General features: G+C 33.8%; 1 annotated feature.

Annotated features, from left to right (window-relative positions):
• Positions 10,489-10,989: an enhancer, noted in NCBI's record as "H3K27ac hESC enhancer chr3:164607970-164608470 (GRCh37/hg19 assembly coordinates)". NCBI's record gives its function as "activates a minimal SCP1, AML or CMV promoter by ChIP-STARR-seq in primed H9 embryonic stem cells {active_cell/tissue: H9 hESC(primed)}" and the evidence as "EXISTENCE:reporter gene assay evidence [ECO:0000049][PMID:30033119]".

Genomic DNA, 14,142 nt, shown 5'->3' on the forward strand with positions numbered 1-14,142 from the left:
ATACATTTTTGTGACTACAATTTTTAGATGTTTTTTAAAATATAAAAATATAAATTTATTTGAATGATATCAGTGTGGTCCAATGATTTCATCTTTTGTTTTGTGATGCACCAAATATAACTCATTTGATACTCACTGCATGTTTATTGTAGTGATGCTGCCAATATTGTATATACACAGATATTGTTTTCTATGTCTTTCAATGATGCTTTTGTGGGAACCCATATTTTCAGTGTCAGAAAAGTTTTGCCTCTTATGAACAACTGGTATTAATGTTTTGACAGCACTTTCAACATTACATCTAATCATGAATTTCTCTTTCCTTTGACTGCTAATACTATTATAGCCAAATATTTAGTTTGCATTCGATAAACATCATAGAAATTTATGAAGCATATTTTTGTAAAACAAATCTTTTGTTATTTTGGTTTTTACTTTTTTTCTCTTTTCTTTTTAACATCTTTGTATGTGTAAATGTCTATATACATGGTAAATTCTGTTTCTTAGTTTCTATTCCTATTAATTCTCATTTTATTTTATATTTAGTTATTTGCATGTCTATGTGTAAAAACATGGTAAACTAGCTCGGTATCATTTGGCAATTACAACATTCTATCCTGACTTCCATAAACCACTTATGAAAATCAATCTTGGTTACCCTTAATTTTAGATCAAAGCAAAGTGATTGCGCTTGATGATTTATTGTATTTTAAATTGTTTTGACATTTATTAATCTATCTTTTATATATACATATAATATGTCTACTTTTATACTTTCCATCATCCTGGAACAAATCTCCTTTTGTTAAATTATTATTATCTAGAATAATTATGAGTTTCATGGGATTTTGACAACTATAATAAAATACATTTAAGAATGCAAATGATTGGAACATATTTATAGCAACATGTATTCTCAAAAATAAATTTTAAATTATACATACTTTCTTAAATATTTTCTAAATGGAAGAATACTTAATCAAGTGAATAAAATGGTTACAGGGAAGACAGAAATAAAAATTAGGCAACAGATGGAAGCTAGATTTCTCTAAATGTACCCTGTTTTGTAGGTTTGGCATAGGAGTTGTATAAAAATTTTGCATAATTATAAAACAAAATTATATCAAAGTAGAAGAAAAAAGAGCAATTCCTAAACACTATGAGCAAAATAGAACAAATAAACTTGAATTAGTGGCTTTGTCATGCACAGAGGAAATCCTTCAAGTGAGCTTAAAGCTATTCTTTTCACAAATAATTTTTTTAAAGCAGTTAGAAGTTTATAATAAATAAAACAAGCATTTACAAATTAGGCTTCTACCATGATTACAAATTTCAATAGACTTCACTAAGATAAAGAAATACAATCCTTATGTATTAAGCAAATATGCATGGGTGCGCATTTCACACAAAGCTGGGGGATAAATGCCTTTAGGGGCTGTTATGTTTTCAGATGCCTGAGGAACACCAAGATGAAGAATTTCGGGAGATAATTGGATATACATATTTGGTACTGAGAAGCAATTTTGAAAATGGAGGAAGGGATTTGGTAATCTTATGTAAAATCATAGAAATTGAGAGGGAAAGCACAGTTTGAAGAAAAATGGATCAACAGAAAATCCTTTGAAAACAAAAATTTTAAGGCATGAACAGAAAAATAACTACTTAAGGAGAAAGAGAAGAGATGTTCAAAAATATTTAAATAATAGGATTCTCAACAGCTTTCTAAGAGAAAGATTTAAAAAAATTGTATCTTTTATAGAGGAGGGCAGGGCTGATTTTTGACATAGTATTTACAGCATATGAAAAGTAAACCTTGAAACTGAATTCAACCAAAAGGAGCTGGGTACTTGAATTTTAAAAGGTAACTATGTTTATCATTTTGAAAAATGATTGCATTTATTTATGGGGTACAATGTAATGTTATGATAAAAGTGTATTTTGTGAAATGATAATTAAATCTGTCTAATTAACATATCTATCACCTTATATACCTATCATTTCTTTGTGGTTAGAGCATTCAAAAATCTACTTATAAAAATTTTGAAATATACAATATATTATTAACTGTAGTCACAACACCATGTAATAGATGCCGAAAACCTATTATTTCTCTCTAACTGGTACTTTGTACCCTTTGACTAACATTTCCCACTTCTTTGTCCATCCCAGTCCATCTCACTTTCCATTCTTCACCCCACCTGCTATTCCACCACCGTTCTATTTTCTACATCTCTCAGCTCGACTTTTTGAGATTTTACATATAAGTCATATCATGCATATGATAAATAAATAAGATAAATCTTATGCCAGGTTTATTTCAGTTAGCATAATCTCAGCATGTTGCAAATGACAGAACTTCCTTCTTTTTAAAGGATCAGTAGTATTTTATTGTGTATATATTATGTCAGCATTGCTTTAAAAATATGATATTAATGCACAATGACTTAATTTTTGAAACTATTCAGTAAAATATAAAAGAAAAATACCTCAACCCCATTTGCAGGTTAAGAATTTGAAGCTTAATAGAGTGGAGGTGGCTTGCTTTCAAATTTCACTGAGATAAGCAGTTTTGTGATCAAAGTCTTCTAATTTACATCTTGATTTCTTTGTTGCAGGATGTTCAAGTTCACTGGAACATCCTTCAGTATATAAAATAATAATGAATTTTGTATTTATAGATTGAGATATGACTCCAACCTGTCTTATTAACAATTTATTATGGATCTTTAATGTATCTTATCATCAATTAAAAATTACTTATGGTTCCATAATCATACCATTTTTTATCAGGGATATAGGTACTTGCTGACATTGCACTCCGAAATGAAAGCAAAGCAAAGCAAAAGAGAATAAGATTATTGGAAATCACTGAATTTGTAGACAAAATTGAATTCTGTCAATATTACTGAAAAATCTAGGAAACATTTCCTTTATAGAATAAGAAATGCTATGGTAAATTAATTAAAAAATATTAAATAGATAACACACTCGAACTTAGTCCTTCCCTTGCATAGCAGTCAGTTTTTAAGTCCATATATCTGTAACAATACCATAATACCACAAGGCTAACTAACAGTCATTACAATATAAACTTCATAACTACATACCTTATCCACAAATCTCTGCTCTCATTAGCCACATTCAGAAACTAAATGATCTACTAATGGTCTGAATTCCCAAGAGCCATAGTGTGGATCTTTTCCCCCCAGTTATTCTCTTATAAACAAAGGAAATGCTTTTATTAACTTATCTTGGCTTTATATAATTATTTTACCTTGTTTCTCAATAAAAGATATTTGAAATAGCTTACAAAATATATACCATAAGGTAAAAATGTAATGAAAAAAATCATGTGATGGAAAAAATAAGGGCATGTAATGTTACAATTTAAACTGAATGTCATTTCTAAGGAAGTTGAAAAACGTTACAAATCTTTGGGATTTGTAACCAGCAATCATAAAGTAGTATGTATTAATAGTTGACTCATTTTATACCCATAAGATAAAAATAAGCCAGCTAATGAGCAGAAGCACATTTTCCTCTAAGAATCCTCATGAAATAGTTATACTGTGTTATAAAGAATGTTTTCTAATGATAAGACTTCAGGAAATACAGCAGAGAGCATCAAAGAGTCTTTGTAACATCTTGGTGAGGCAGAGTTCAGCATATTTGAAGCACACTTGACTTTAAGTAGCAGCTCTCTGATCATGTGGCTGAATCCAAGGATTCTTTTTCACATGATCTCCAAAAGGACAGACTGTATTTTTTTCAGGATGTATTTTCTACATAGATTTTTTTTTTTTTCCAGCACAGCTTTTGCTAAGGCTTGAGCTATAGTAAATTCAAGGTTAGATCTCTGACAAGAGAGTATGCTGTACTACTACTCTCTTAAGGGTTTTCAGGTTAGGTATTGAAGTATCAATAACAAATGGGACATTAAAGGCCTTCTTTAACTGAACTGATATATTGTTGACCTGGAAAATTTCCCTGATAATTTAAGTGAGAAAAAAATAGATAAAATATTGGGTAGCAAAATCTAATTATTGTAAATAATAATAATAAATTAACAATTGTATGTATTTAAAGCTTAAATGCTTAGCAGGATACTCAGTGACTGAAAAGTCAGTATCTCAAAATAAAAAGGTGACAGATGCTCTTTACGTTTTTCTCTTAACTGATTTTTAAAAAATATTATGATGGCATATACATTTTATTCAGATTGGTTATATTAGCTATGATCAAATAATCATTGTAATATAGTATGATCCATGGTAAAATGATAAAATTAAGGCTATTAAGTAGGAATTATTATTGAAAATTGGGCAGATATTTACATCTATGTTTAAGAATTACATGGAGGAAATATGCATCAGTATTCTACAACTTGGCTGGGCATGGTATCTCATGCCTGGAATCCCAGCATTGCGGGAGGCCCAGGCAGGGGTATTACTTCAGCTTGGGAGTTCAAGACCAGCCTGGGCAACATAGGGAGACCCCAACTTCACAAAACATTAAAAATAATAAAACATTAGCTGGGTTTGGTGGCCCATGACTGTGGTTCCAACTGCCTTAAAGACAGAGCTGAGAGGATCCTTTGAGCCCCAGACGTCAAGGCTGCTGTGAGCCATGACTGCACCACTGTACTGTAGCCTTGGAAACAAAAAAAGATTCTGTCAAAAAGAAAGGAAAGAAAGAAAAGAAAGAAAGAAAGAGAATTCCAAAACTTATATTTACTTGTTTTAGGGCAGGAGTAGTATAGAATGCAGAATGCTTAGTCTCAATGATAACTGTGTCCTCAGTCTAGATATTTGCAGCTGAATAAAACCTAAGATAAAGCAAAATATTGTTGTGATATGACTAGAAAAAAATAACTTAAATTTCTTGTTTTAAGTAAATCTTTCTGCATCTCCATGGAATTTTAAAATAATTTCTTCCCATATATATTTTTATTTTTATTCACAAGTCATAATTTTCTATACTTTAGAGGGAATGTGTCTTCATTATTACAGGGATCTTTAAGTAGAAACAAATATGTTAAAATTAATTATATAACTTACTTTACATACTTTAAATTTCTTTTTAGGAGGGTAAAATATGTAATTCCACTCTGATTATGCCTTTAGATTTCTTACTTTTAAATCTTGGCATTTAATATGGCTTTTGAAGTGTCTGAACACAAAAATATTAAAAAGATTAAGTCATACATTTAATCCTTTCTTGTCTAGTATTATTTTCATATCACATTATGTTCCATCCATCTTTTTCTTCATTGGTAATATTTAGTATTGGTTGTTCAATAAATTTTTCATTTCATTTCTCCATAACAAAGGGGAAGTGCTGTAAAAAGTACAGTGTCCTAAATTTTATCCTAAAAGTATTATACAAGTATGGATAATATCCACAGTATTTGATGACTATTTCTGATTAAGTTGTTTGCTAATGCTGAGAATCTTTACCGAAATTGCACTAACTACATTTTTTAATTTTAAATTTCTTACAATATATACCAAATGATGTTTTAAACTATTACTGAATAAATATACCTGAAAAGTGAATCAAATTTGTGAATACTTGACTTACTCATGAAGAATTGGCCTTGATATTGTGTCCTCATTTACAAGGGCTTTATAAAACCAAGTATAGAGTAAGGCAATATCTTATCCAGCAAATATTCAAATAGACCTTTGACACCTTAGCCAAAAGAGAGTGATTTGTAACATATGCTAGGTCATGAAGCTAAAAATATTACATTAAGAAATGTTATTAACATGATAGTTTCTCTGTGTTTAACCTCATTTGTTTTAAGAATATATTTTATTAACTTATTATTATTTTTTAGTTGAACAACTAGCATTTATCACTCATTGCAGCAAGAGAGAAGACACACCCTGGCCATCTTTGTATGACGCTATCAGAAAGAATGTGATATAGGATTTGGGCTTTGGGCCATGATTGTGCCACCGCACTGTAATGCCTAGCAGTGGGATTGCGGAATGATATGGTGACTCTATTTTTAGTTTTTTGGAGAAGCTCAAAACTGTTCTCAACAGTGGTTGTAGTAATTTATGTCCATATCAACAGCATACAGAGGTTTCTTTTTCTCCACATCCTTGCCATTATTCATTATTGCCTATTTTTTGACAAAAGCTATTTTAACAGTGGTGTGATGATAACTCGTTGTAGTTTGATTTACATTTCTCTGATAATCAGTGATGTTGAACACGTTTTCATATACCTGTTTGCCATTTGTATTCCTTCTTTAAAGAAATGTCCATTCTGATCTTTTGCCCAGTTTTTAAATTGCATTCTTTGATTTTTTTCTTATTGAGTTGAGCTCCTTATATATCCTGGATATTAATACCTTGTCAGATGGATGGTTTGCAAATATTTCCTCCCATTGTGTGAGTTGTCCCTTCAATTTGTTGATTGTTTCCTTTGCTGTGCAGAACATTTTTAACTTGATGTGATTCTATTTGTCCATTTTTGCACTGGTTGCCTGGGCTTATAGGGTATTACTCAAAAAGATCTTTGCCCAGACCAATGTCCTAGAGACTATTCTCAATATTTCCTTTTAGTAGTTTCATAGGTTGAGGTCTTAGATGTAAGTCTTTAATGCATTCTAATTTGATTATTGTACGTGCTGAAAGATAGGGGTCTAGTTTCATTCTTCTGCATATTGATACCCAGTTTATCCAGCACAATATATTGAGGAGACCATCCTTTCCCCAATGCATGTTCTTGACAACTTTATCAAAGATAACTTCACAGTAAATGTATGGATTTGCATCTGGTTTTCTATTCTACTCCGTTGCTCTATGTGTCTGTTTTTATGCCAGTACCAAGCTACAGTAACCATTGGTTACTATAGCTCTGTATTCTAATTTGAAATCATGTAATGTGATTCATTCACTTCTGTTCTTTTCACTCATGATAGATTTGGCTATTCTGGGCCTTTTGTAGTTCCATATAAATTTTAGGATTGGTTTTTCTATTTCAGTGAAGAATGCCATTGGTATATTGGTAGGAATTTCATTGACTCTGTAGATTGCTTTGGGTAGTATGGATATTTTAACAATATTGATTCTTCTAGTCATTAAACATTAAGTATCTTTTTTTTTTTTTTTTTGAGACAGTCTCACTCTGTCACCTAGGCTAGAGTGCAGTGGTGTGATCTCAGCTCACTGCAACCTCCGCATCCTGGGTTCAAGCTATTCTTCTGCCTCAGCCTCCCGAGTAGTTGGACTACAGGCATGCACCACCACGCATGGCCAATTTTTGTATTTTTAGTAGAGACACAGTTTCACCATGTTGGACAGGATAGTCTTGATTTCCAGATTTCGTGATCGCCCTCCCCAGCCTCCCAAAGTCCTGGGATTATAGGCGTGAGCCACTGTGCCTGGCCTATATCTGTTCATTTTTTGTGTCCTCTTTAATTTCTTGATTCAGTGTTTTATCATTTTTATTGCAGAGATCTTTAACTTTTTTGGTTAATTGCTAAGTATTTAATTTTATTTGTAGATATTGCAAATGGAATTACTTTCTTGACTTATTTTGCATTGATCACAATTAGTATATAGAGATGTTATTGATTTTTGTAGGTTGATTTTGTATTCTGAAACTTTACTGAATTTGTTTATCAGTTCTAATACTTCTTTGATGGAGGCTTTAGGTTTTTTTGAATATATGATTTTATCATTTGAAAACAAGAATCATTTTACATCTTCCTTTACAATTTGGATATTTCTTTCTTTCTCTTGTCTGATTAATCTATCAATAACCTCTTGTCCTATGTTGAATAACAGTGATGAAAATGGGCAGCCTTGCTATGTTCCAGAATCTGGAAGAAAGGCTTTTGATTGTTCCCTGTTCAATATGGTACTAGCTGTGAATTTGTCACAAGTGGCTTTTATTGTGTTGAGGTAGGTCCAGCATAGCTGAATATGCAAAGTTTTTGAGGATTTTTATCATGAAGAGATAATTAAATTGTATCAAATGCTTATCCAGCATCAATTGAAATGATTATTTTTTTTATCCTTCATTCTGTTGATATGATGTGTCACATTTATTGATTTGTGTATGCTGAACCATCCTTGCATTCCTGAGATAAATCCTACTTGGTCATAATGATTTATATTTTTAATGTATTGTTGAATTCTGTTTGCTAGTATTTTGTTGAGAATTTTTACACCACAATTACAGTGTTATAATATTATGTGTTTTTCTGTGTGTTTACTATTACTACTGAGCTTTATACCTTCATATGATTTCTTATTGCTCATTAACATCCTTTTCTTTCAAATTGAAAAACTCCTTTTAGCAATTTTTGTAGGATAGATCTGGTGTTGATAAAATTTCCCAGCTTTTGTTTATCTAGGAAAGTATTTATTTCTCAATTTTAAAGGATATTTTTGTTGGATATACTATTCTGGATAATTTTTTTTTTCCCTTCAGCACTTTAAAGATGTCATACCAGCCTTTCCTGGTTTGTAAAGTTTCCACTGAAAAGTCTGCTGCCAGACATATTGGAGCTCCTTTGTATGTTATTCATTTCTTTTTTCTTGCTGCTTTTAGGGTCCTTTCTTTATCCATAACCTTTGGGAGTTTGATTATTACATGTCTTAAGGTAGTTTTATTTGGATTAAATCAGCTTGGTGTTTTATAACTTTCTTGTACTTGAATATTGCAAAGTTTATTTGGATTTGGGGTGTTCTCTGTTATTTCCCTTTAAATCAACTTTCTACCCATATCTCTCTCTCTGTCTCCATTTTAAAGCCAATATCTTTTAGATTTGCCATTTTGAGGCTATTTTTTCTAGATTCTCTAGGTGTGCTTCATTCTTTTTACTCTTTTTCCTTTTGTCTTCTCTGACTGTATACTTTCAAATAGCCCATCTTCAAGCTCAAAATTTCTCTCTTTTGCTTAATCAATTCTGCTGTTGAGACTCTGATACATTCTGTGGTATGTCAATTGTATTTTTTATCTCTGGGATACTTACAAGATTCTTTTTAATTATTTCAATATCTTTGTTAAGTTTACCTGATAAGATCCTGAATTCCTTCTTCATGTTATCATAAATTTCATTGAGCTTCCTCAAAACAGCTATTTTTGAATTCTCCGTCTTAAAGGTCACATATCTCTGTCTCTCTAGGACTGGACATTGATGCTTATTTAGCTCATTTAGTGAGGTCATGTTTTCCTGGACGATCTTGTTATTTTTAGATATTTATCAGTGTCTGAACAATGAAGAATTAGGTACTTATTGTAGTCTCCATAGTCTGGGCTTGCTTGTACCCATCCCTCTTGAGAAGGTTTTCCAAGTATCTGAATGGACTTAGGTGTTGTGATCTAAGTCTTTGCTCAGTGCAGCTACATATGCATTAGGGGAGACCCCAAGCCCCATAATGGCGTGGCTCTTGTAGACTTATACAGGTACCACCTTGATGGTCTTGGGTAAGATCTGGGAAAATTTCCTGAATTACCATGCAAAGACTCTTGTTCTCTTCTCTTACTTTGCCCCAAAGAAAGTCCCTCTCTCTCTATGGTGATCTGCCTGGAGCTAGGGGAAAAGTGATATAAACACCCCTAGCCACCACCACTGGGACTGTTTTGGGTTAGATCTGAAGCCAGCACAGCACTGGGTCTCACGCAAGGCCCGTGATGAGGACTACCTGGCTACTGACTATGTTCACTAAAGGCCCAAGGGCTCTAAAATAACTAGGTGGCAAATCCATCCAGGCTTGTTTTCTTCTGTTCAGGGTGTCTAGTTTGCCCCAACCCCAGGCTGGTCCAGAGATGCCATCCAGGAGCCAGTGCCTAATGTTGGGAACCTTGGCAATCTACACAATGCTCTATATTACTGCTGAGGAGCTGGCATTCAAGCTACATTACAAAGTCCTTCCCACTCTTGCCTCCCCTTTCCTCATGCAGAAAAGTCTTTCCCTATGACCACTACCACCCTAGGTCTGCAGCGAGTACTGCCTAGCTACCACCAATGTTCACTCAAAGCCCAAAAGCTCTTCGGTCAGCTTTTGGTGAATGCTGTCAGGCTTGGGTCTCTCCCTTTTGGGTATAGAAACTCCTTTGGCCCAGAACATGTCCAGAAATGTCATGCCAGGGCCAAAGCCTGGAATTGAGCCCCCGGGAAGCCTATCTGATGCTCTACTCCACTATAGCCGAGCTGGTACCCAAGATGCAAGACAAAGTCCCCTTACTCTTTTCTCTTATTTCCTCAATTGGAAATCTTTCCCTGTAGCCACCACAGCTGGGAATGTGCTAGGTCAGACCTGAAGCCAGCCTGATCCTGAGTCTAACCCAAGGCCTGTGGTGTGTACTACCTGGATAGCATTGCTGATTATTAAGGGCCCAAGGACCCTTTATTTAGCAGGCAATGAAACCTGTTAAAACTAGGTACTTTTGTTCAAGGCAGCAGGTTCCTTTCTAGCCCAGGGTGTCTCTAGCAATATCTGGTAGTTAAGTCCTGAAATGGGAGCCTCAGGATTCTTCTTGGTGCCCTATTCTACTGTGTGTGAGCTGGTATTTAATTTGCAAGACAAAGACCTCTTTACTCTCCCATCTCCTCTCCTCAAGCAGAGGAAAGGAGTATCTCTGGGAGCTGCAAACTGTATTGCCTGTGCTTTCATGAGTGATGATCCAAGCAGTTCCTTGGCTGTCCTAACTGGTGTCTCTTTAGGTCACATGTCCCCCAAGTCCACTGGCTCCAAGCTTGCCCAGGGCTTGCCCAGGAATTTGCAGTCCTTGTGGCCTATACTGCCTTTCAAGTTTATTTAGGACCTCAGTACACGTTAGCTTTTCAGTGTTCTCTTACAGAGCCTTGTGGCTGAACAGTTTCACCAGCAGCCCTATATTTTGTTTGAGCAGTAAAAACTATAGAAGTGGGGTGTAGACAAAAGTGAACAGCACCTGCAACAAAACTGCTGATCATGGTTAACCAGCTTCCCAAGCCAGTGGCAAGGCTTTCTGGAACTCAAATTCTGAGTGCTGGGATGAATGATTCGCCTCTGTCTAGGGCTGGTCTAAATGCTCCTTTCAGGAGCACCAGCTGAGTTCTGCCCATGTCACTTTCCACTGTAACAGCACAGCACTGAGTTACAATGCAAAGTTCCACAATCACTACCCTCTCCCTCCCGCAAGCACATAAATTCTCTCTCCACACCATGAGGCCACTGCCAAGGGATGGGGGAGGGACAGTACCTGCAACTCAAGACTGTCTTTCTTATCCTCTTCAGTGCCTGCTTCCTTAATAAGATCTCAAAAGCCAGTTTTGTGATCACTCACTTGATTTTTGGGTCATAGGAGGTTGCTTCTTTGTGTGGATAGTTGTTCAATTTTGGTGTTCCTGTAGGGATTACAATTACTAGAAGCTCCGATTCTGCCATCTTGTTCCACCTCCTCTTTATTATTAACTTACATTTGACGTTGAAACTCTATATTATTTTATTTAAAGTTGTGAATGAATCAAGCAGAATTCTAGTTCAACTATTTCCTTTCAAAAAAAATGCAATATGTTATTTTTAACCTAAAAAATGTTTTCTTATGCATTTTGTTTATTTGTTTTGTTCTGGATTGGTTTTACATGCTACATTGGGACAGCCCAAAAAATATTAGAAAGGAAATTAAAACAAATTGTATAAAGTATTAATGCTTAATTTTAAACATATACAATGAAACCCCATGAAAAATGTTTTCTGACATTTTAAAAACCCTATCCAATATTATTTCTAAAGATTAGGGAGTAAAATGGCTTTCCTATGAATACATGCTATTTAAAAGTCAAGTCGCAAATAACATTTTCCAATGAAGTAGTGATAATACCATTGCACTGGGGCACTGAAATGTAGATGAGTCATAAAAAATGTAGACATACTTTTGTGTGTGTGCTGATATAACTATACACAATTAAAATAAGAAGGTTTGTTATCATTGTTACCATTAGTTAAGTTACCATTCTCTTTGACCAAGACACTACTATTATCATTTTATCTCTTAAGCAATAGGAAAATTTTTACTTTTATCTTTCACCTAGGCTTAAAATTAGTGGCTACACTTAAATTAGTTGCTTTTTCTTTACAAGAGAACATATAATTATTTAGACTAAGTATGGATTCTCAATTTTCAAGAAGTAGAGAATTTAACAGATTTGTTAATTAGAACGTTAAGATTTGCCAGCAGTTTTTCCACCATTGATACTGCTAACAAATGGGTCAAATGCTCAAAGTTGCATTTATTCTCTGCAAAATTTTTCTGTAGTAACATAAAGGAACCCACAAATTTACTTCAGTCTAGAAAAATTATAAACCATTTAGTAGAAAATCTCCATTTTTTATGCTCAAGCTCTTATATTCCTATTCAAGTTAATTTATTATATATTACTGTTTTAAAAACTCTTGTGTGTCCTATACTTGAAAAAAAAAATTTCTTTTTATACTGACATTAATTTACATTATTTTCCAATTTTTATCATAACTACCTCATTTTTCTTTCCCTTGCCTTTAGTTTGACTCTTACAAAATCATAAAATGTGAAAAACAATGAAACATGTAAAAAAATTATCAAACAATATTAAAAGAAAAACATTAAGATTATTTGAAGGAATATTTGAACAGTCATTAATAACTAACTATAAAAATTTATAAAATATTCACAAGGAGATAGAACTAGGCTACTTACTGAAGATACAGAAATAAAATACTTATTTTCTACCCTCAAAGTACCCAAAGTCTAACTGGGAATTATTATAATACAAGCCGAGGCTTTTCTCTCACTATTCAGTACAAAATACTCACTTCTATTAATAGACCTAGGCTCTTAATTCCTCTCAGAAATTACATAATTTCTATGTTAACTATTTTATTGTTTTTCTCTTCTCTTAGAGTATAAAACAAATGAAGGCAGGAATTTCATAACCTCCTGTTTCCTCAAAGTCTTTAAGAGTATTTTGAACTCAGTAAAATTTAATAGAATTGATAAAACCTCAATTATAAGAATATTCAGATATTATTTTAACCTATAGAAGGAGCATGTGGCCAAGACTACAGAAAGGTAATTTCACAAGAGAATGACGTATAAGAATAAGATGGGATTTAACTAAAGAATAAGTAAAGTTGTTTCAGAGGCAACAGCAGAGTAAGTTTCACTCAGAGGCTCACTGTGGCTGAATAAGACACTTTCAGAGAACTGCAAACGCTTGGAAATTCATAAGGGAGAAAGGCAATGGTGAAAGTTAGGTAGAGAAGTGGGCATGAATGACCTTTTATGGCTTGAGAAGTGGATTAATTTGAGATCAACAGAAAGACATTGAATAATTTTAAACATGAAGAAGCACAATTATCTAATCAATCTTTTAGAAAAATTATTCTAGGAAAAATACAGGGGATGAATTAAAAGCAGAGTGACCATACATCCCAGCTTGCATAAGAGAATTCTAGTTTATCATGTTACCCAATTAAAAGTGCCAAAATATTCAAGTGCAAAAAATAAAATAAATGAAACGTGGTATATTTATGAGAGGAGGTAAACCCCAAAATAGGTTAGTTAGAAATTCAATGCACAAATTCACATAAGTATTAAAAGCTGACTGAATCATGGGCATTAGTTGTAAAATAAAGTGTGGCATATTGGGTATAATAAAAAAATTCTATATGACTGGAGCATTAAGTATTGGAAGGGAGGAAAGGAAGGATGAGGCTGCTGATGTCGGTAGAAACCCAGTCACTGGAGGTTTTGCAAATCAAATGAAAGCATTTAGATTTTAGCTAAGGAAAATGTGAAACAACAAATGGACTTTGAGAATTAGGGGAACATTGTTATATGTGTGCTTAAAACTAAACACTCAAGCTTCAGTATGGGGGATACATTTATGAGATTAAGACTAGAGTCAGAGAAAATAGAGATTTTTGCAGTAAAATATTAAAGTAAATCGGCCGGCGCGGTGGCCCACTCCTGTAATCCCAGCACTTTGGGAGGTCGAGGCGGGCGGATCACGAGGTCAGGAGATCGAGACCATCCTGGCTAACATGGTGAAACCCCGTCTCTACTAAAAATACAAAAAATTAGCCGGGCGTAGTGGCGGGTGCCTGTGGTCCCAGCTACTCGGGAGGCTGAGGCAGGAGAATGGTGGGAACC

This window comes from Homo sapiens, chromosome 3 (genome assembly GCF_000001405.40).
Source record: "Homo sapiens chromosome 3, GRCh38.p14 Primary Assembly".
Taxonomy (NCBI): domain Eukaryota; kingdom Metazoa; phylum Chordata; class Mammalia; order Primates; family Hominidae; genus Homo; species Homo sapiens.